Source organism: Homo sapiens, chromosome 19 (assembly GCF_000001405.40).
Source record: "Homo sapiens chromosome 19, GRCh38.p14 Primary Assembly".
NCBI lineage: Eukaryota > Metazoa > Chordata > Mammalia > Primates > Hominidae > Homo > Homo sapiens.
The window spans coordinates 21,617,211-21,637,643 of record NC_000019.10 but is presented as its reverse complement, the minus strand read 5'-3'; the positions used below and the strand labels follow the sequence as shown (position 1 = coordinate 21,637,643).

Genomic DNA, 20,433 nt, shown 5'->3' with positions numbered 1-20,433 from the left:
TTTTAGAGACCAGATAGTGAACAAAAGATGATGGGGCTACAGGAGAAAAACAGCTGTCTTCAGTTCTGTCCACACACTTGAACTCCAGTATTTAGAGATGGAGAAAATAGATTAAAAGCAAACATATTTTGCTATTTGGTCTTGGCCCTAATGGTCAGGCTGTATTTATCTGTTTTCTCCTGTGGTGTGGGGGACTATGTGAGTCTAAGCACCAATCACATGCATACATGTCTACAGGTATTTCTGCATTACCCAAATTCTCTCACAAAACATCAAACTTTAAATCAGGGGAAGAAATCAGTACCTAGAGGGTGTCCACTGTTAGAAGCCAACTGGTAGTCAACCTGTCTCTGAATCCTGGCAACCTATCTGTACTGGGTGCATGTATTAGTTAGCTATTGCAGCATAACAAATCATCCAAAACTTATTAGTTCATAATTGAAATGATCAGCCATTTAGGCCGAGCTGAGTGGGGCCATTCTTCCAGTCTCAGCTGAGCTCCTTCAGACATGTATCATCAGCTGCTTGTTGACTAGACAGCTCTGCTTCTGGGGGTGAGTTTCTTCTTCTGGGCCTGTCAACAGCGGCACCTTGCTTCTCCTCCTCATGGTATCTTATTTTCCAGCTGGCTAACATGGGCATTATTCATGGAGATGGCAGCATTCTAAAAGAAAAATAGAAGCAGTCAATACCATTTGAGCCTGGGCCCCAAACTGGCCCACTGTCATGTTCACAGGTTTCTACTGACCTGAGCAAATAAGGGCAGCCAGATATAGGGTTTTGAAAACAGATTCCAGATCTTAAGGAAACAGCTGTAAAAGCACCTGGCTATGGGCATAGATACAAGTAGGATGAAAAAATGTTGTCATTTTGCAATCATTTTACAATTTGTAATATTCTACCTTTTTTACATATGTGGTATATAGAACTCTTCCACATCAAGAAACTTGTGCAGACCTACAGCTACTAAGTGGCTGGGCTGAGACTCAGGATCAACTTTATCTGACTCCAAAGCCCATACACCTCCATAGATCACACTACTAAAGTAGCTGCCCTGCCCTAGACTCTTGAAATCCTGGAGAGTGACACTTCTACAGAAGAAGTCAGATTCCTTTTAGATTTGTGCTCATAGAGTACTTTTTATCATTGGGAATAATCCTCACAAAAATTGCAGAAGCACATGGTGGCTCTCACCTGTATTTTTAGCACTTTGGGAGGATGAGATGGGAGATGATGTGAGCTCAGGAGTTCCAGTGCTGCCTGAACAACATAGTAAGATTCTGTTTCCATGACAAAAATGAAGAAATTAGCCACCCATGGTGGTGCATGCCTATAGTCCCAGCTACTTAGGTGGCAGAGGCAGGAGGATAGCTTAAACCTGGAAGGTCAAGTCTGCAGTGAGCTATGAGTAGTTACACCACTGCAATCAAGACTGGATGACAGAGTGAGTCCCTGTCAAAAGAAGGAAAGAAAGAAGGAAGGAAGGAAAAGAAAGAAAGAGAGAAAGAAGGGAGGGAGGGAGGGAAGGAGGGAAGGAAGGAAAGAAAGAAACTGGAGAAGCATTTTGTAAAGACATAAAATAATTTGGAGAAATAGCTGAGGGATGAGTTTAGAAAATCAAAGTCCAATGGCACATTATTAGTTTTCATCATAGAAAATATTTGAAATCTTTTAAAAGAAAAAACCTTTAGATACATTAATTTTTTTTTTTAAAGATGGAGTCTTGCTTTGTCACCCAGGCTGGAGTGCAGTGGTGTGATCTTGTCTCACGGCAACCTCTGTCTCCCCAGTTCAAGCGATTCTCTTGCCTTAGCCTCCTGAGTACCTGGATTATGGGCATGCGCCACCATACCCAGCTGATTTTTGTAGTTTTAGTAGACACAGGGTTCCACCATGTTGGTCAGGCTGCTCTTGAATTCCTGACCTCGTGATCCACCTGCCTCAGCCCCCCAAAGTGCTCCCAGACGTGAGCAACAGAGATCAATTGAGCATGGAATGATTTGCAAATTGGGTAGGCTGTGGATCCAGAGTAGGCTCAGAGAGAATCTAACACAGCCACATGATGAAAATAGATTTATAAACAGCAAAAGCAAAGTGACATACAGAAAATGAAAGTGAGATACAGAAACAGCCAGATTGATTACAGGTTGGGATTTGCCTTATTTAATCATGATTTGAACACTTGATGTTCTTTTATTGGCAAAAACACAGAGGTTTGTACAATAATTGGTTGGTCTATTTATATACCCAGTTAGATTTCAGTTTACTATGTATAAAAAACCTAGTGACCAAAGTTAAACAGGAAAGGGGGCAGCTTTAGGCATAATTAATTTAACAATTTCTCCCTTTTGGTCAACTTCTCAATTTTGAGAGATAGACCAAAACTTTAGACATTGATATTACTCTGTCACCATCAAAAATGTACTTATTTGGTGGCGGCAGCAGCAGTGGCCGAGGCTGAGGGAAGATGGCAGACAGCGTGGACCACATAGACATTTACGAGATGTGGGTGAAGAGTTAAACCAGGAAGCTGAATATCGTGGGTATGGCCAGATAGATTTGTATGACTGTGTCATATCTCCATCTGCAAATAATGGAGATGCCACAGAAGACTGGGATTACATGGATACTCTCCCACCAACTGTTGGTGATGATATGGGTAAAGGAGTGGCACCTAATGTTGTCTATACACATACTGGAAAGAGAATTGCATTATATGTTGGAAATCTAACATGGTGGACAACAGATGAAGACTTAACTGAAGCAGTTCATTCTTTGGGAGTAAATGATATTTTGGAGATAATTTTTTTTTTCTGTTTTTGTTTTGTTTTTGTTTTTTTCTTTTTTTTTTTTTTTTTTTTTGCAGTTGCAAGATTTAATAGAGTGAAAACAGAGCTCCTATACAAAGGGAGAGGACCCAAAGAAGGTAGCAGTCACCAGCTCGAATGCCTGGGTTTATATCCTGACCATTGTCCCTCCCGCTGTGCTCTCAAGCAATAGATGATTGGCTATGTCTTTACCTCCTGTTTTTGCCTAATTAGCATTTTAGTGAGCTCTCTTTACTACCTGATTGGTCAGATGTGAGCTAAGTTGCAAGCCCTGTGTTTAAAGGTGGATGCGGTCACCTTCCCAGCTAGGCTTAGGGATTCTTAGTTGGCCTAGGAAATCCAGCTAGTTCTGTCTCTCAGTGCCCCCTCTCAACAGGAAAACCCAAGTGCTGTTGGGGAGATTGGCTGATGACCACTCTAACTGCTTCCTGCTGAATTGGGGTGTAGTAGGGGTCTTGCAGTTGAGATTTCCTTGAGAGGAGTGCCTTCGATGTCATCAACTTTGGACTGTATCTGGGGCTCCATTTGAAGAACCATTTGTAGCTTTACAGCTTCGATTCTGGAGGAGACAAACTTAACAAGGAGGTTAAAGATACAGAATCCAAAGAGGAGTAACAATATTATAGCTGCTAGAGGTCCTAAGAAGGGGAGAATCCAGGGCATCCATTGGCTGAGGAGGCCCCAGGTCCAGTGTTTTGAAGCTCCTCTGCTCTACATTATATTTGATCTCAAATTTCTTTAACTTTCTTGGTGACAATTCTGGATTGATTAACATAATAACAGCATTGTTCCCCTAAAAATAAACAAATTCCCCCTCTTTCGGTGGTTAGCAAGTCTAAAGCTCTTTGATTTTGAAGGACTACTGCTGCTAGGGAGTGAAGTTGATCTTGCACTAACCTCCACTGTCTGTTGGGTTTCTGTACTCCTAAAATTGGAGTATTGTAGGGGCTATTGCATGGTTGGGCTTTTAGGTCCTTAACAATCTTTTGGAGTTGTTGTTGGGCCTCGGGTTTAAGGGGGTACTGCCTTTGGTAGGGAAAAGAGGTGGAATCCTTTAGTTTAACTTGAACAGGATGGGCATTCTTTGTTCATCCATATTGTCCTTCTGTTGCCCAGACTTCAGGATTATTCCTTCCTCAAGTAGGGGACAACAAATGGGTGTTCCTTCTCCTATGTTCAGGTGTATAATTGCCCTTGCTTTTGCTAGAATGTCTCTCCCTAACAAGGGAGTGGGGCTTTTATGCATAATTAGAAAAGCATGTGAAAAGAGTAAATTTCCCCAGTCACAACTTAGTGGCTGGGAGAAGTTTCTAGTGACTGGCTGTCCTAGGACCCCTCTGATAGTGACAGATCTGGAGGACAGTTGTCCAGGACAGGAGAGTAAGACTGAGAAGGCTGTGCCAGTGTCCAGGAGACAGTTAACCTCCTGGCCCTCAATGGTCAAGCATACCTGGGGCTCTGTGAGGGTGATGGCATGGGCTGGCACTTGCCCCAGGAACACTCCGTCCTGCTGCTGGATCATCTGGTTAGTGGCTTCTGACTCAGAGGACCTTCATCCCTTGGGGCAGTTGGCCTTCCAGTGATTCCCTTGACATAAGGGGCATGGATGAGGGGTTGGCTTATTTCTACTTGGATAATCTTTTTTAGTGTCCTTGTAGACCTCACTGGAAGCAAGCCCTATTAGGCATTTGATTTGCCCAGGTTTTCTCTCTTCCAGAGCCTCCAAAGTCTGCTTGCTTGAGGGCCATGACTAAAGTGGTGGCCTTTTTTTTGTAATTCTGTTTGTCCCATTCTGTCTGCTCTCCTGATCTCTATTATAAAAAACTGAGGTTGCCAAGTTCAATAGGGTTTCTAAGTTTTGCTCGGGCCCAAGGTGGACTTTTGAAGTTTTTTTCTAATGTCTGCAGCTGACTGAGTGATAAACTTATCCTTTAAGATTAGTTGGCCTTCAATAGAGTCAGGTGACAGAGAGGGATGCTTTCTCCATGTCTCCCTTAATCTCTCCAGAAAGGCAGTAGGATTTTCTTCCTTTCCCTGTGTTATACTGGACATCATTGAATAATTCATAGGCTTTTTCCTAGTTTTTCTTAGTCCTTCTAGCATGCAAGTTAGCAAATGTCTGTGGCACCAATCTCCATGTTCTGATTCTATGTCCCAATGAGGGTCTGCACTGCGAACTGCCTGCTGGCCTGTGGGGAATCATTCTCTTTCCTCTGTTGTCATCCTATCATTGACCTGACTAAGATACCAGAGATCACCAAGCTCTCACGCTGCAGTAATGGTGGCACTTCTTTCATTTGTGGTTAGTGTCTGATATAGCAGTAACATTATATCTCTCCATGTCAGATGTTAGGCTTGTCCTAACCCTTGTAAAACATCAATATAGCCATCAGGGTTATCTGAGAATTTACCTAGGTCTATTTTAACTTGTTTTAAGTCTGAGAGAGAAAAAGGTATACACACACTGGCTGGGCCAAATTCTCCTCCTCCCACTGCTTGGAGTGGACATAATGGGGGAATATTGGCACTCTTTGACTCATTGTTTACCCCTTTGTATATCTCCTTTTGGACCATTAGGGTTGAAGGGGTGTCCTTATTAGTTGGGGAAGGAGTCGGGGGGACACTGGGGTAGGGAGATAGACTCTGAGGGCTTCCTGTAGGGCTTTTTACATAATTGTACTTTTTACATAATCACAAGTTGTCCCTTAATGAAAAGAAAGTTTGCACATATGGCACTTCACTCCATTTGCCTTCCTTTTTACAAAAGAGGTCTAGCTGTAAGATGGTGTTATAGTTTATACTTCCCTCAGGAGGCCAGGTTTTTTCCCCTTGAAGAGGATATCATGGTGAGGTTGTACTGCAGAAGAATATAAGTCATTTCTTTCTTAGTGTCTGAGGGTCAATTGGCCCCAATTCTCCAGAATATATCTTAGGGACATTTTTGCCTTGGGGGGAACATTTCCCATCTGAAAAAAGAACATAGGGATGCCAGCACCCCTGGTCATTTTCCAATAAGCATTAGTCATAGAGCGGCCTCTATGTTCTTAATGCTTATTCCTTTCCAGGGTGCATAACCACCCATAGGCCTCTGCTTATCAGATTAGTTATGTTCACTGATGTAGCAGTCCTGCACCTCTTTTCCCACCTCTCTTGACCACAAAGAAAGGGGTCCAGGCTGCTGGATTCTAGTGGTCCTTTACCAAATTGCCCAACATTGTTTTTGTGCTCAGGGGTGAGTACTAGACCTGGGCTGGGTTCCTAAGTATTTCATAACAACCCAGCTGCCCCATCAAGATGCATTCCCATAAACAACCGTTCTTATGCAAATTCATTTCAGAGAGGGTGTAGGTAGCCCTTTGAGTCAGGATTGAAATAGTCTTTTTTGATTCTGTAAGTACTTTAAGGCCTGGCTGAGTGCAAACAGCTCGTGCATTTGAGCAGACCAATTATTAGGCAATTTTTCCAACTCTGCTTCCACAGGAGCCTCCGTATCAATTACTGAATACCCTTTTTTATTTTTTTCTCAATCACCTGGGAGGAACCATCTATCATCCTCTCCTGAAGGGATTTCCTCTTAGGTCTGGTTGGACCTTTGTATAGTAATTAAGATTTAAATCCCCTGTGAGGAAATCTGCTGGGTTAAGGGAATTATCAGTGGTTAGTGTTAAATTACCTTTTTCTAACAGAATAACCCCGTATTTTAAGACTTTTTGAGTTAGTAAGCTACTTTTTTCTTGTTTGCCTTAAACTAATTCTGAACTGGTGAGGTGTGCTCACAATGAGTTTTCCTCTAAAAGTTACTTTTCTACTTTCTACTGCTACGAAAGCAGTTGCCACTATAGATTGAATGCACTTGGGCCATCAGTCGGTCTCTGGGTTAAGGATTTTTGATAAGAAGGCTACGGGTGGTCAGTGGTCTCAGTGTTTTCAGGCTACGCCCTTGTTTACAGTGACAACAGGGTAGTATTGGAGTGTTATAGGGTCATGGATAAGACCTTCATTTCTCAACTATAGGTTTTTAATTTACCCTGGCTTTTAAAGGAAGAGGGCACACTTTTTTTTTCTACTTCTATCTTTCTCTTTCTTTCTCTCTTTGACTCCCTCTTTGTCTCTCTGCCTCTCTTTCCTCTCTCCTCTCTGTCTGTCTCTCTTTCTCTGTCTGTTTCTCTCTCTGTCTCTCTCTCTCTCTCTGTGTGTGTGTCTCTCTCTCTCTGTCTCTCTTCTCTTAGCCATTTACAAAGTTGGGGCCCTTGCCAGGGTGGTAGGGAACAGGTCCCACATAACTGCCCATGTTGAAAGCTGTATACCTAAATCAGGAGGGGCACCAGGGACAAGACTCCCTGGGTTTATAGCCTAGATACCTAAGGATGCAGCATAGAGTTTCCTTAGATCCCTTTGGAGATACAACTTGCTAGAGGAAATGAAAATCTGAACCATTAGTACCTAGGAGGCAGAGATCAGAGGAAGTAGATTCAGAGGTAAGGAGAATTTTGGGGCTATATTTTCAAGAAAGTCATGCTCAGGACCCAGGAGTTATGGGTCAGAAGGAAAGGTGGGGGCACACACATGGGTGACTGTTGAGTAGAGACTTCTGGCTGTGCCATAATCTCAACTGGCTAATGCCAGGACTTCGGGATGACAGCTTTCTGCCTCTAGTTGGCCCTCAGCTTCCCCAAGAAAATTGAAAGTGGAAGCTGGTTCCAGGCAGGCCAACATTCCCAACCCAGAAGGGTTGGGGGTTGTTAGAAAGCCCTTCCCAGACAGCCTCACACCTGAGTCTTAAGTCCCTTGGCCACGCTAATTGTTTTTAACCAGCTGACAGGTGCCCAGTATTTTCCTCCAATTCTAAGGAAGGATAGGACAGAATAGCAAGCGGAAGTGGTCCAATGTTACTCACCACTTTGGAGGTCGCTTCATGGTCACCAAAATGTTGCCGGGGGGGGGGGGGTCCTTGCTCCCAGAGCTCCCAAGATGGTGGCAGGCCACTTCCAAAATGGCAGCAGGCCACTTCCAAGATGGTAGCAAGCCTTATGTTCTCTGACCTGGGGTTCTTGGCTTCACGGATTCCAAGGAATGGAATCTTGGGCCATGAGGTGAGTGTTATAGTTCTATTGGAAGCCATGGGTCATGGAAGAGAACCATGGAACCCAGTGACTACTGTTCAGCTTGATTAGAATGAACCCAGGAACTTAGCCATGCAGGAACAATGGCAAGCCTTTAGCCTGATTAGGAGCAGCAATGGGTGCCTTGCTGGATCAGGAGCACAGTGGACACCTTGCTGGATCTGGAGGGATGAAAGTCAGTGGCAGGTCTGCAATGGCGGCAAATAGCAGTGGTGGACAGCAATCAAAAGCTCAGCTCGAGCTGTAACAAACATAGACCAGAAGAGAGTGCAGTTGTAAGATTTAATAGAGTGAAAACAGAGCTCCCAGGCCAGGCTCAGTGGCTCACACCTGTAATCCCAGCACTTTGGGAGGCCAAAGCAGGTGGATCACCTGAGGTAGGGAGTTCGAGACCAGCCTGGCCAACATGGAGAAACCCTGTCTCTACTAAAAAATGCAAAATTAGTCAGACATGGTGGTGCATGCCTGTCATCCCAGCTACTCGGGAGGCTGAAGCAGGAGAATCCCTTGAACCCAGGAGGTGGAGGTTGCAGTGAGCCAAGATCATGCCATTGCACTCCAGCCTGGGCAAAAAGAGTGAAACTACATCTCAAAAAAGAAAGAAAGAAAGAAAGAAAGAAAGAAAGAAAGAAAGAAAGAAAGAAAGAAAGAAAGAAAGAAAACAGAGCTCCCATACAAAGGGAGGGGACACAAAGAGGGTAGCCCAAGATAATTTTTTTTTTTTTGAGACAGAGTCTTGCTCTGTCACCCAGAATGGAGTGCAGTGGTGTGATCTTGGCTCACTGCAAGCTCCACCTCCTGGGTTTATGCCATTCTCCTGCCTCAGCCTCCTGAGTAGCTGGGACTGCAGGGGCCCACCACTACACCTGGCTAATTTTTTTTGTATTTTTAGTAGAGATGGAGTTTCACCATGTTAGCCAGCATGGTCTCAATCTCCTGACCTCATGATCCACCTGCCTCAGCCTCCCAAAGTGCTGGGATTACAGGCGTGAGCCACCGTGCCCGGGCCTGCACTCCATTATTGACCACACTAGCTTTTAATTCTTTTAGTAATTTAAACTCTACAGGAGTGTGTTCATTTAAAAGATTTTGCGGATCATTCAGGTCAGGCCTTATGGTAATAGGAAAAGTGCAAGTTCCTAAAGGTTCCCTAGCCACAGCAGCAGTGCACAAAATTTTTTGTATGGGGGTTTCTACTTCTGTTATTGGAGGGTGTGGCAGCGGCCAATTCTCCTCTCCTGTTTCCTGCTTAGCAAGGGGCCAATTCTCCTCTCCTTTCTCCTGCTCATTGTTTTCAATAGGCCCAGTTGGAGGAACAAATAATTTTTTTAAATCTTGAGACTCAGAACCTGGCTCCTGTTGTGTGACAGAATAAGAAGGAGACAACAGCTGTAGGACCGTGTGAACAAAACCCCAAGAGGAAAAAACAGAAGGGTCTACTTTGGGACCTTTTTGATGAGCCCATTTCAATTTGTCTCCTACTCTGTCCCAATTTTCCACATTGAGAGTGCCTGCCTGCAGAAACCATGGGTTATGTGTAATAACCTCCTGCAGAAGCTTAGTTAATGTCTGTGAATTAACTTGAGCTCCAGACTGTGTTCAATAAAACTTTAAACAACTGCACATAATGTTTTTCTTCAACAGACAAATTCTACCCCATGTTACCCTGATTCAGAGACTTCCCATCCTCAGTACTTCTTTAGAGCACTGGCCTTATATTCCCTGCTGACAGACTCGTCCTGGGGTCCCGGTTCATCTGGTAAATTTCACTTCCTCTGCTCTAGCAGACCTTCTTCGTCACGTCCTTGAAGTCCCTGTTGTTGGTGCCACTTGTCATGGAGCCTGGAAAATGGAACAGAGGACGAACACGGGAATAAAGAAAAAGACACTAGAGTATGTTTTCAAGAAGGGGTCAGGGGGCTCCTTGCTTCTAGGGAGCAAGGCCCCTGAGCTTCTAGAGCCCTTTGTATTTATTAAGTAAAGGAAATAGGGAGAAAGGGGTGGTTGTCAATCAGCTGCTTGATTTAGTGCAGGCCTGCACGAATGCTTTCTTTGAACAGTAGACTCCAGATGTTCCAGTAGACAACTGCAAGGAGCACAGTGCCAGGGAGTGACTGCCCTCAGCATATCTTCTGGTGGCAGGCACAGATGTGAGTTTGCCCACATCCTGCATTCATGATAAACAGTTTGCTCTTTAATCGTATAGCCTCCAGTGGGATGCTGAGTTGGTCACAACCGTCAGGCTTTTGGCTCCTAACAAGAACAGTTTGCTGTTTGCTCATATAGCCTCCAGTGGTATACTGAGTTGGTCACAACCCTCATTCCTTTGGCCTCCAACAGTAGCAGGCAAAGTGAGAGAATAAAAAAGGTTAATACCCTACAAGAGTTGCAATGTACAACAGAAAGCATAGCAAGGAACAAATTATCTGGAGTGAATGTGTCTGTGTCTGGACCAGGATTCACTCAGCCTCCTAAGTTATCTTCTTCAGCATAATGTCCGGGGTCTGTGTTGTCCTAGGAAGCCACATCGTCCAGGGCTGTTAGGTCCTGCAGTGTCATTTCCTTCATTTCTGATACCGAGTTGGGTCCTAGCCAAGCCATGGTAAGGTCTGATGCCTCGTGCTGGAATCCAAAGAGGACCTGAGGGGGTGTGAACACGAGCATACCCTCTTCCCCATGTTAGCAAATCATCTGGACCACACCATACATTACTATTTACATCTTTCCATAAAACTGAAGGTTTTATATCTTGAGTGATTTTTGCAAGGTGCTTGTCTATAGCTGATTGAAATTTATCATCTAAATTTAAGAAACTCAGGGTAAATAAGGCTTGTGCCAAAAGTGTTGCAGGGTCCTTACTCATATTTCCCCTTTTTTGTTTTCTGAGCATATTTAAGGGCAGAGTGGACACTTTTTATTATAGCCTGTCCTTGGGGGTTATATGGGATGTCTTGGAATGTAGGATGTTCCATGTGTGACAAAATTGGTGAAACTGTGAGCTGGCATAAGCCGGACCATTATCAGTTTTAATTTTTTGGGGGCCACCTCATAAATGCAAAAGTTAAGAGAAGATGTTTAATGACATATTGGATGGACTCTCCAGGAAGAACATGAGCGCTAATTAGGTGGGAATAGGTATCAATGGATACATGTACATATCTTAGTTTTCCAAATTCAGGGACATGTGTAACATCTGTTTGCCATGCTGATTAGGTTCTAGTCCTCTAAGGTTAACATCTGTTGAAGGAGGGGATGTGCCTGTGAGCTGGCAATCTGGGCATTGCAGGATAATTTGTTTATCTAGTCTTTGGGTAAATTGAAATTGTTTAGTTAAGTTTCTCCAGTTTTGGTGGAAAAATTGGTGTGATTGGGTGGCTTGGTCAAGCAAGTGACGTCATAACCTGCAGGTCTGCTTGATTGCTGTCATGAACTAGTGGGCTGGGCAGCAAGCTTTGGGCCCAAATGTGTGTGATAAAAACAGGATGTGTTTGTTAATGTAGCAATTTCTTAAGTCAAAGAAAAAGGGCACACAGAGTGGGCTCAAGAGTTGACTTAATGAGGACTGTTTCAAGGTTTTGCAATAAATAAATGGAGTAAGCAGAGTCATTAACAATATTGATGGGCTGAGTGGAAAAGGTTTCCAGGACCAATACTAGGGCTCCAACTTTAGCTGAGTACTAGTAAATCTAGATCGAGTGAGGAAGTTATGCGGTTCCCACCAGATAGCTGCTTTTCCATTTTTACCAGAGCCATCAGTGAAAACTGTTAAAGCACATTAGGTATGGGGGAGTGAACTACCTTTGTAGGCATAATTACAGGAGTATAAGAGCTAGAGTAGTTCATCAGCGGGAAGGGTACTTTCTATATGGCCCACATAATCAGAGAGTGCTATTTAAAGAACTAGAGATAAGGTCGGGTGCGGTGGCTCATGCCTGTAATCCCAACACTTTGGGAGGCCAAGGCAGGCAGATCACGAGGTCAGGAGATTGAGACCATCCTGGCTAACACAGTGAAAGCCCATCTCTACTAAAAATACAAAAAAAATTAGCCGGGTGTGATGGTGGTCCCCTGTAGTCCTAGGTACTCAGGGAGGCTGAGGCAGGAGAATGGCGTGAACCCAGGAGGCAGAGCTTGCAGCTTTCAGTGAGCTGAGATCGCACCACTGCACTCCAGCCTAGGTGATAGAGCAAGACTGTGTCTCAAAAAAAAGAAAAAATCTAGAGATAAGGGCAGGACTCCTTCGAATTGTTTTTTACTTAAGGGTATTCTTATGACATCAGAGTCATAACCTTGCAATCGATTGCATCATCTGTGGCCTGTATAAATGACTTTACCAATTAGCTGGATATAGGGGGACAGTGTTTTAGTCCCAGTGTGTGAGCAAAAACCCATTCTAGGAAGCACAGCCCTGGGGCCATCTGTCCTATTAATCCTGTTGGGGAATGTTTTGTAGGAGAAACAAACAACTGGACTGAATATTGTGGGTCTATGCAATCTAGTTTCCTATGAGAAATAGCTTGCTCTATTTCCTCAATTACCCTATTTGCAGTGGAGGTTAAATACCTGGGGGTGTCCAGGGTTTCATTGCCCTTTAGGATAGAAAACAGGTTCTGCAACTTATCAGTAGTTATGTCCAAGGTGGGGTGAAGCCAGGTAATATTGCCTAGTAATTTTTGATAATCATTTAAGGTATATAAGTTGCTAGTATTTAACATTTTGAGGTCTTACTGACCGGGAAGTTAGTATGTATCTAAGATATTTCCAAGGGGAGGACATCTGTACCTTTTCAGGTGCTATGATTAAACCTCTTAACTGTGTATTCCTTTTGACAGGGGCATATAAACTCAAAAGTATTGGCTCCATTGGGGCCACCAGTAAGATGTCATCCAGATGATATTGCAATTAGGAAATTCTTTTCTACTGGGAAGCAAAGCCTGATTTACATGATACTGACACACGGTAGGACTGTTTAGCATTCCTTGAGGAAGTACTTTCCAATGAATTGGAGGAGCTGGCCTTTCATTATTTATAGCTGGTATTGTAAATGCAAATTTTTCTCTTTCCTGTTCTGCAAGGGAAATAATATAAAAGCAGTCTTTTAAGTCAATAATGAATATAGGCCAATCTTGAGGAATCACCGTGGGGAAAGGGAGCCCCTGTTGAAGGGGCCCCACAGGTTACAAATTAGCATTGATAGCACATAAGTCATGCACAAGTTTCCATTTACCAGACTTTTTGGGAATGACGAAAATAGGTGAATTCCAAGGGCTGTCTGATGGTTCTAAATGGCCAGCTTTTAATGGCTCCTCAACTAATTTATGGGCTCATTGTAATTTCTCTCCCTTCAAAGGCCACTGTTCTACCTAAATTGGATCTTGAGAGAGCCACGTCAGGGGTAGGGGAGGAATAACAACAGTGGCCATTATTAGAAAGAGGTCTGCAGAGTAACCCCCCATTGGGCTAATAGGTCCCATCCACAAATATTAACTGGGATGGGCATGATTTGAGGTTGTATAACTGCTTTCCTTCTCTCTGAATCATGACATATTAAGGGGTGTGTGCTCTGCTTGGCTGTGTGCACTTCCCTGATGATGACAATTTTTTGTTTCTGAGTGACCCAAGGCCAAGTTTCTGGCCAGTTTTCATCACTGATGATCAAAATGTTCACCCTGTGTCCAATAGGCCAGTAAAATTTTTATTTTCAATTTTTAAGGTAATCATGAGTCTCTGATCAGTGATTGATTGGTTCCAATATACTCCTGTGGCTTCCGTGTTTCCAAAACCTCCTTGTCCCCTTTCCTTTCCCTGGGCATTGGGAACCCAGTATGGTAAGAGTAGTAACTGAGCTATTTTAGATTTAGGGGGAAGAATATGTAGACCTTTACATTAAATCATAATTAATATCTCATCTTGGTAATCACTATCAATTACCCCAGTGAGCACATTGACTCCTTTACTGGATAGGTTTCATCGCACTAGGACCAGTCCCACTGTTCCCAGAGGCAGTGGACCCCAGATCCCTGTTGCAACCCTTTAGGGTGTTCTCCTTCTTTTAGCACTAATTTGTCAGGGCAGAGTAAGTCCAGTCCTGCGCTCCCCAAGGTGGCTGCTCTGAAAGAGAGGACTGTGGGCTTTCCATCTAACCGAGGAAAGCCACTGGCATTGCCCCAGTGTGGAATGGGGCCTGGGGCCAGCCCCTCATGAAATGTCCCACCTGATTGCTTAGGGGGTTGACATTTTTATCAAATTTGGACTTGCATTGATTTGCCCAGTGTTTCCCCTTTTTACATCGGGGGCATGTAGAAGGGTTTTTTTTTTTTTTTTCCTGAGTTACTTTGGTCTTTACTATTGGGGCATTCCCACTTCACATGACCTGGCTCTCCGCATAGAAAACAATTTGGGTTTTTCTCCCTTTTCACTTTAGGAGGCTTTAATACAATAGCCTGCATTGCCTGCTGGCAGTCTACATTAGCATTTTCATAAGCCAATTGCAACAATAAGATTTCAGCAGCCTGGGCGTGACTAATTTGTCTCTTAATTGCCTGTGTTAACCGACTGATAACAAATGGCTCCTTAGGCCCTTGTTGAACATTCACAAAAGATCCCTGTTGAACTCCATCTTCAGGAATTCAGTCCCAAGCCCTGCGAGCACACAAAGACACTTGTGCATAGGCCTGGGGAACAAAATTAATTGTTCTTGTACATTGACATAGGGACCCCTCCCCTGGAGCATAGCGGCCGTTATGTTTTGCCCAGCCAACTGATTCTGGTTGGCTTGTTGTTAGTACAACTCATCATATTCTGCCTTCCAGAGGAGATATTGACTGGCTTCTAAAGTTGTTTTAGCTAGTAGTGGCCAGTCTCATGGGGTCATATGGAAGTTGGCTGCTGTGGCATCTTTATAGGTGTTAAAAGTAATGGGTTCATGTACCCAATTGCCTTGTTGATCTTGCATCACCGGGCATGCCAAGAGCTCCCCTTCTAATGCTGCTTGCCTAAGACAGGGTCCCATAACTGTAGTGTATCCCTTGTCTTTTTTCCAATTTACTGGGGGAGGGGGCACAGGGAAAATCTCTGTCTCCTCTGTGGCACCTTTACCTGGTAACAGCAGGGCTGGGGGAGGAGGAGGAGGTGGTAAGGTAGATGATGGTTCTTCCTCCCTTCCCTTTTTAGGCACTTCTGTGTAGAGCGGGGCCAAAGCAGCCATAACAAAGCCCCCTAACATTAAAGATGTTACTGGGACCTGTTGCCCTTGCGCATGATGTCATCTAAGTTTTCTCCCCACTTGTTCCCAGAGCTCTAGGTCTAGTGTGCCTTCCTCTGGGAACCATGGGTTATGAAAAACAACACTTTGCATTAGGTCCCTTAATTGGGCTTCCAAAACTGAGGCTCCACTAGCTTGAAGCAGCTGTTTCAATACTTTTATATGCTGTTGCTGTTGAGCTGATAACTGTTGTCCCATGATGAAACCCTAGCTTGAAAATCCCCTCAAACTTGGAAATCCTGAATGGGCACTGATTACTTACTGCACAGTCTCTTCACCTTTGTTTTTGAGGGTTCCATTGCAGCTTTGTTCACATGGGGCACCAGCTGCCAGGTCTGTCCCATAGACCCTGGCCAATTGATGAATGAAAGGAGTACTCAGACACAGGTATGCAGTGTAAGAGCAGCTAGAGGACTGGCCAGCACTTGTGGTCAAAGACGAGAGCAGCCCCGAACAGCTGGAGCTGCTTGCTTTTATTCAGTACAGACATAATACGGAAAGCCTGGAGCAAACACAATCTGCAGGTAATTAACATTATTGTTCCCCCTTTCAGAGAGCAGTCAAGAGCACGGATGATCAAAGGTCAGCTTCTGGACAACACGAGCAAACAAGCCTATTTAAGATAAATTCCCCTACATTCCCTTGTACCTACTCCTCACCCTCTGCCTCAGGGTAAGAGAACGGCTGCCATCAGCTTATTCTCCCACAAAGTTTTGCAGAGCCTTCTGACCTTTCAAAAGGCCTGCTCCTTTCCCTATAATTTCTCCCCCCATTTTGACTAATCCCCCACAATCTGTCATTTAATTATTTCTATAAAAAATATTTAAGGCCAGGTGGCATGGCTCACACCTGTAATCCCAGCATGTTGGGAGGCCAAGGCAGGTGGATTACCTGAGGTCAGGAGTTCGAGACCAGCCTGAGCAACATGGATAAACCTCATCTCTACTGAAAATACAAAATTAGCCAGGCGTGGTGATGCCTGCCTGTAATCCCAGCTACTCAGGAGGCGGAAGCAGGAGAATCACTTGAACCCAGGAGGTTCAGGTTGCGGTGAGCCAAGATTGTGCCATTGCACTCCAGCCTGGGCAGCAAGAGCAAAACTCCGTCTCAAAAAAAAAAAAAGTTAATATGTACAAACCATGATTAATCAATAGGACAGCCCCCAGACATAGTTTGTGGTTTGGGGGCTATAGGGAAAAGAAAGAGAGATCAGACTGTTACTGTGTCTATGTAGAAAGGGAAGACATAAGGGACTCCATTTTGAAAAAGACCTGTACTTTGAATAATTGCTTTGCTGAGATGTTGTTAATTTGTAGCTTTGCCCCAGCCACTTTGCCCCAGCCACTTTGACCCAACCTGGAGCTCACAAAAACATGTGTTGTATGAAATCAAGGTTTAAGGGATCTAGGACTATGCAGGAAGTGCCTTGTTAACAAAATGTTTACAAGCAGTATACTTGGTAAAAGTCATCACTATTCTCTAGTCTCAATAAACCAGGGGCACAATGCACTGCAGAAAGCCGCAGGGACCTCTGCTCTTGAAAGTGGGGTATTGTCCAAGGTTTCTCCCTATGTGATAGTCTGAAATATGGCCTCATGGGATGAGAAAGACCTGACCATCCCCCAGTCTGACCCCCGTAAAGAGTCTGTGCTGAGGTGGATTAGTAAAAGAGGAAAGCCTCTTGCAGTTGAGATAAAGGAAGGCCACTGTCTCCTGCCTGCCCCGGGGAACTGAATGTCTCAGTATAAAACCCGATTGTACATTTGTTCTATTCTGGGATAGGAGAAAAACCGCCCTATGGTGGGAAGCAAGACATGTTTACAGCAATGCTGCTTTGTTATTCTTTACTCCGCTGAGATGTTTGGGTGGAGAGAAACATAAATCTGGCCTACGTGCACATGCAGGCATAGTACCTCCCCTTGAACTTAATTATGACATAGATTCTTTTGCTCACATGTTTTTTGCTGACCTTCTCCTTATCATCACCCTGCTCTCCTACTACATTCATTTTTGCTGAAATAATGAAAATAATAATCAATAAAAACTGAGGGAACTCAGAGACCAGTGCTGGTGCAGGTCCTTGGTATGCTGAGCGCCGGTCCCCTGGGTCCACTGTTGTTTCTCTATACTTTGTATCTTATTTCTTTTCTCAGTCCCACCTGACTAGAAATACCCACAGGTGTGGAGGGGCAGGCCACCCCTTCAGGGGCTACCAGAGGGTCTTGAAGAAAAGGATTCTATAATGTGTATGAGGATGGAATGCAAATTAAATAAATGATTGGGTACAGTTAGGTAGTCGCTTCATTTGGAGTGTCCAGGAGAAAACTTTCTGGTAACATAATCAGGGATTAAATGGAAATTTATGTTTAATTAAGCCTGAATTTTGTTTTCTTCTAAGGTAGTAACTTACAAAAAATGCATTTGAGTTAGTTTTTTTTTTTGTTACACAGAAACCTAGACCACTAGAGCCACATCAGTCTAATTAGCTGTTATCTAATTATTTTAACTTTAATCAGGAATTCTAGCTAGATGTGGTGGCATGTGTCTATAATCCCAGTTACTTGGGAGGCTGAGGCAGGGGAATTGCTTGAACCAGGGGGGTGGAGGTTGCAGTGAGCCAAGATTCTGCCACTGCACTCCAGCCTGGGTTTCAGAGTGAGACTCCTCAAAAAAAAAAAAAAAAAAAAAAGGACCAGGTGCAGTGCCTCATGCCTGTAATCCTAGCACTTTGGGAGGCCAAGGCAGGCAGATCATGAGGTCAGATCAAGACCATCCTGGCTAACATGGTGAAACCCCATCTCTACTAAAAATACAAAAAAATTAGCCGGGTGTGGTGGTGGGCACTTGTAGTCCCAGCTACTTGGGAGGCTGAGGCAGGAGAATGGTGTGAAACTGGGAGGCGGAGCTTGCAGTGAGCTGAGATTGCGCCAATACACCCTAGCCTGGGTGACAGAGCAAGACTTTGTCTCAAAAAAAAAAAATTAGCTAGGCGTGGTGGTACATGCCTGTAATCCCAGCTACTTGGGAGGCTGAGACAGGAGAACCTCTTGAACGCTGGAGGTGGAGGCTGCAGTGAGCTGAGATGACACCACTGCACTCCAACTTGGGTGACAGAGTGAGACTCCATCTTGAAAAACAAAATTTAATAAATAATTAAGTTAATAATATGTAAATACTTCTAGAAGATGCCAAGTACCATCTTATAAAATTTAGCTTCAGCCAGGCATGGTGGCTCACGCCTGTAATCCCAGCACTTTGTGAGGGCAAGACAGGTGCATCACCTGAGGTCAGGAGTTCAAGACCAGCCTGGCCAACATGGTAAAACCCCGTCTCTACTAAAAATACAAAAATTAGTCAGGCATGGTGGTGGGCACCTGTAATCCCAGCTACTCGGGAGGCTGAGGCAGGAGAACAGCTTAAGCCTGGGAGGGAGAGGTTGCAGTGAGCCAAGATCGCACCACTGCACTCCAGCCTGGGCAACTGAGTGGGACTCTGTCTCAAAACAACAAAAAACAAAATTTAGCATCAGACTCACACATTCAGGTGACAAGATACAGAAAAGAGATTCAAAATATTAAAAATTCTGCAGCTTGCAAAAAAGAGAAACTAATGTAATCATGCCCCAAAAAGGACAGACCAAAGAAATTTAACTGCACTCACTCTGGTGGAGAAAGAAGTAAATAAGAATTTCTACTAAGTAAAACATATGACCAAATATTTAATTTTTTCTGAAATTAACCTCTTTCATGCCCTTTGTAAGTATGTTTTTTGCCTTTTGAGCTCTGATGATAAAATTCAATTTACATCTAATAAAAAACCAAAGTTGAAATAAGTGAACAAATCTGTTCAAGGTGGCAAACTCAGGGAGTAATAGTGTTTATTGCAACAGACACATATCTGACTCAAGTGTCAAATCAGGCAACCCTATCACTTGGGACATTCTCCCACCCTTACCCTACTCACCGAAGTGCTCAAAGATCACCCTCCCAGAAGACACTGCACTGTACCCCACTCTGTGTCCCTGGTACTTTTTTGCTTTGCAGGTTCTTGCATTGCCTCCATGGGGTAGGTCTATTTCGTCTTTCAGCATAGTTTTTCTCCCTTCACAAATATGACACTATTCTGAGGACAGACATGATTTCTGCCTTTTTCTCTAAATACCACCATCTGATTGGCTAACCAGCAAGAACTGGAATTGGGAAAAGAAAATCTTAAAATCCCAAAAGGTTCTGTTTTTATGGGAAGGGTAAGCCAGGATATTTATCTGAGCCCCAGGGCATTCAGTTGCTCTCCTGAGAAGCTACATTCCCATATGTCAGGGTGTCCTCTGGAAGGAGAAGACGAAGGGGCTGGTCGTCACCAAAGCTTCCAAAAGGCATGGCTGTTGTGTGTATCTTGGGCCATCCCAAGACAGTTCTAAAACTCAAGACTAGAAAGAGATCAGAGTGTGGCTGAGGACACATGGCCCCATCAAGTTTTCAAAGGGAAACCTCAATCCAACGATGTCCTGATAAGGCATTTGTGCCTAGGGAAGATAAAAGGAGAAAAGGCAGAAAGATTTTTGACAGTGGAGTGTAAGGGGATGATTTTATGCTTTCCTCTCATGAAAAAATTTACAAATAGAAAACAACTATTTTATTGGGAGGCCGAGGCAGGTGGATTAAAAGGTCAGGTGTTAGAGACCAGCCTGGCCAACAGAGTGAAACCTGTCTCTACTAAAAATACAAAAAATTAGCTGGGCGTGGTGGCAGGTGCCTGTAATCCCAGCTACTCATGAGGCGGAGGCAGGAGAATGACTTGAACCCGGGAAGCAGAGGTTGCAGTGAGCCAAGATCGCATCGTGCTGCTGCACTTCAGCCCAGGTGACAGTGAGAGACTCCATTTCAAAAAAAAAAAAAAAAAAAAAAAAAGGAAAGAAAACAAGTATTTTAAAGAGTGCCATCCACAGCTCTGTGAATAAGTGATTAATTAAAATGCTGTTTCTAAAATGTAAAATAAAGGACAAAAATAGTTGATAATGTTGTGAATTGGAGGGGAGGAGTTGGCTCTGGGAAATATTTGAAAGAAACTGGAAATTTAAGATTTTACTGGCCTGGCGCAGTGTCTCATGCCTGTAATCCCAACACTTTGGGGGACCCAGATGGGCGGATCACCTGAGGTCGGTTGTTCCAGACCAGCCTGACCAACATGGAGAAACCCCATCTCTACTAAGAATACA

The 20,433-nt window shown here is 43.9% G+C and overlaps 1 long non-coding RNA gene and 1 pseudogene across 1 annotated transcript in view, besides 1 other annotated feature; one reads left to right on the top strand and one right to left on the bottom strand.

Moving 5' to 3' along the window:
- On the top strand, positions 2,469–2,811 carry CPSF6P1 (CPSF6 pseudogene 1; annotated as a pseudogene).
- The window catches only part of LOC105372323 (uncharacterized), a 41,604-nt gene continuing 30,838 nt past the window's right edge, over positions 9,668–20,433 (bottom strand). The window contains exon 4 of the long non-coding RNA XR_001754056.2: positions 9,668–9,793. This is a non-coding gene — a long non-coding RNA (uncharacterized LOC105372323). The remainder of the gene's footprint in view (positions 9,794–20,433) is intronic.
- Positions 10,343–10,637: an enhancer, noted in NCBI's record as "tiled region #12513; K562 Activating DNase matched - State 5:Enh". NCBI's record gives its function as "activates a minimal TATA promoter and a strong SV40 promoter by Sharpr-MPRA in K562 cells {active_cell/tissue: K562}" and the evidence as "EXISTENCE:reporter gene assay evidence [ECO:0000049][PMID:27701403]".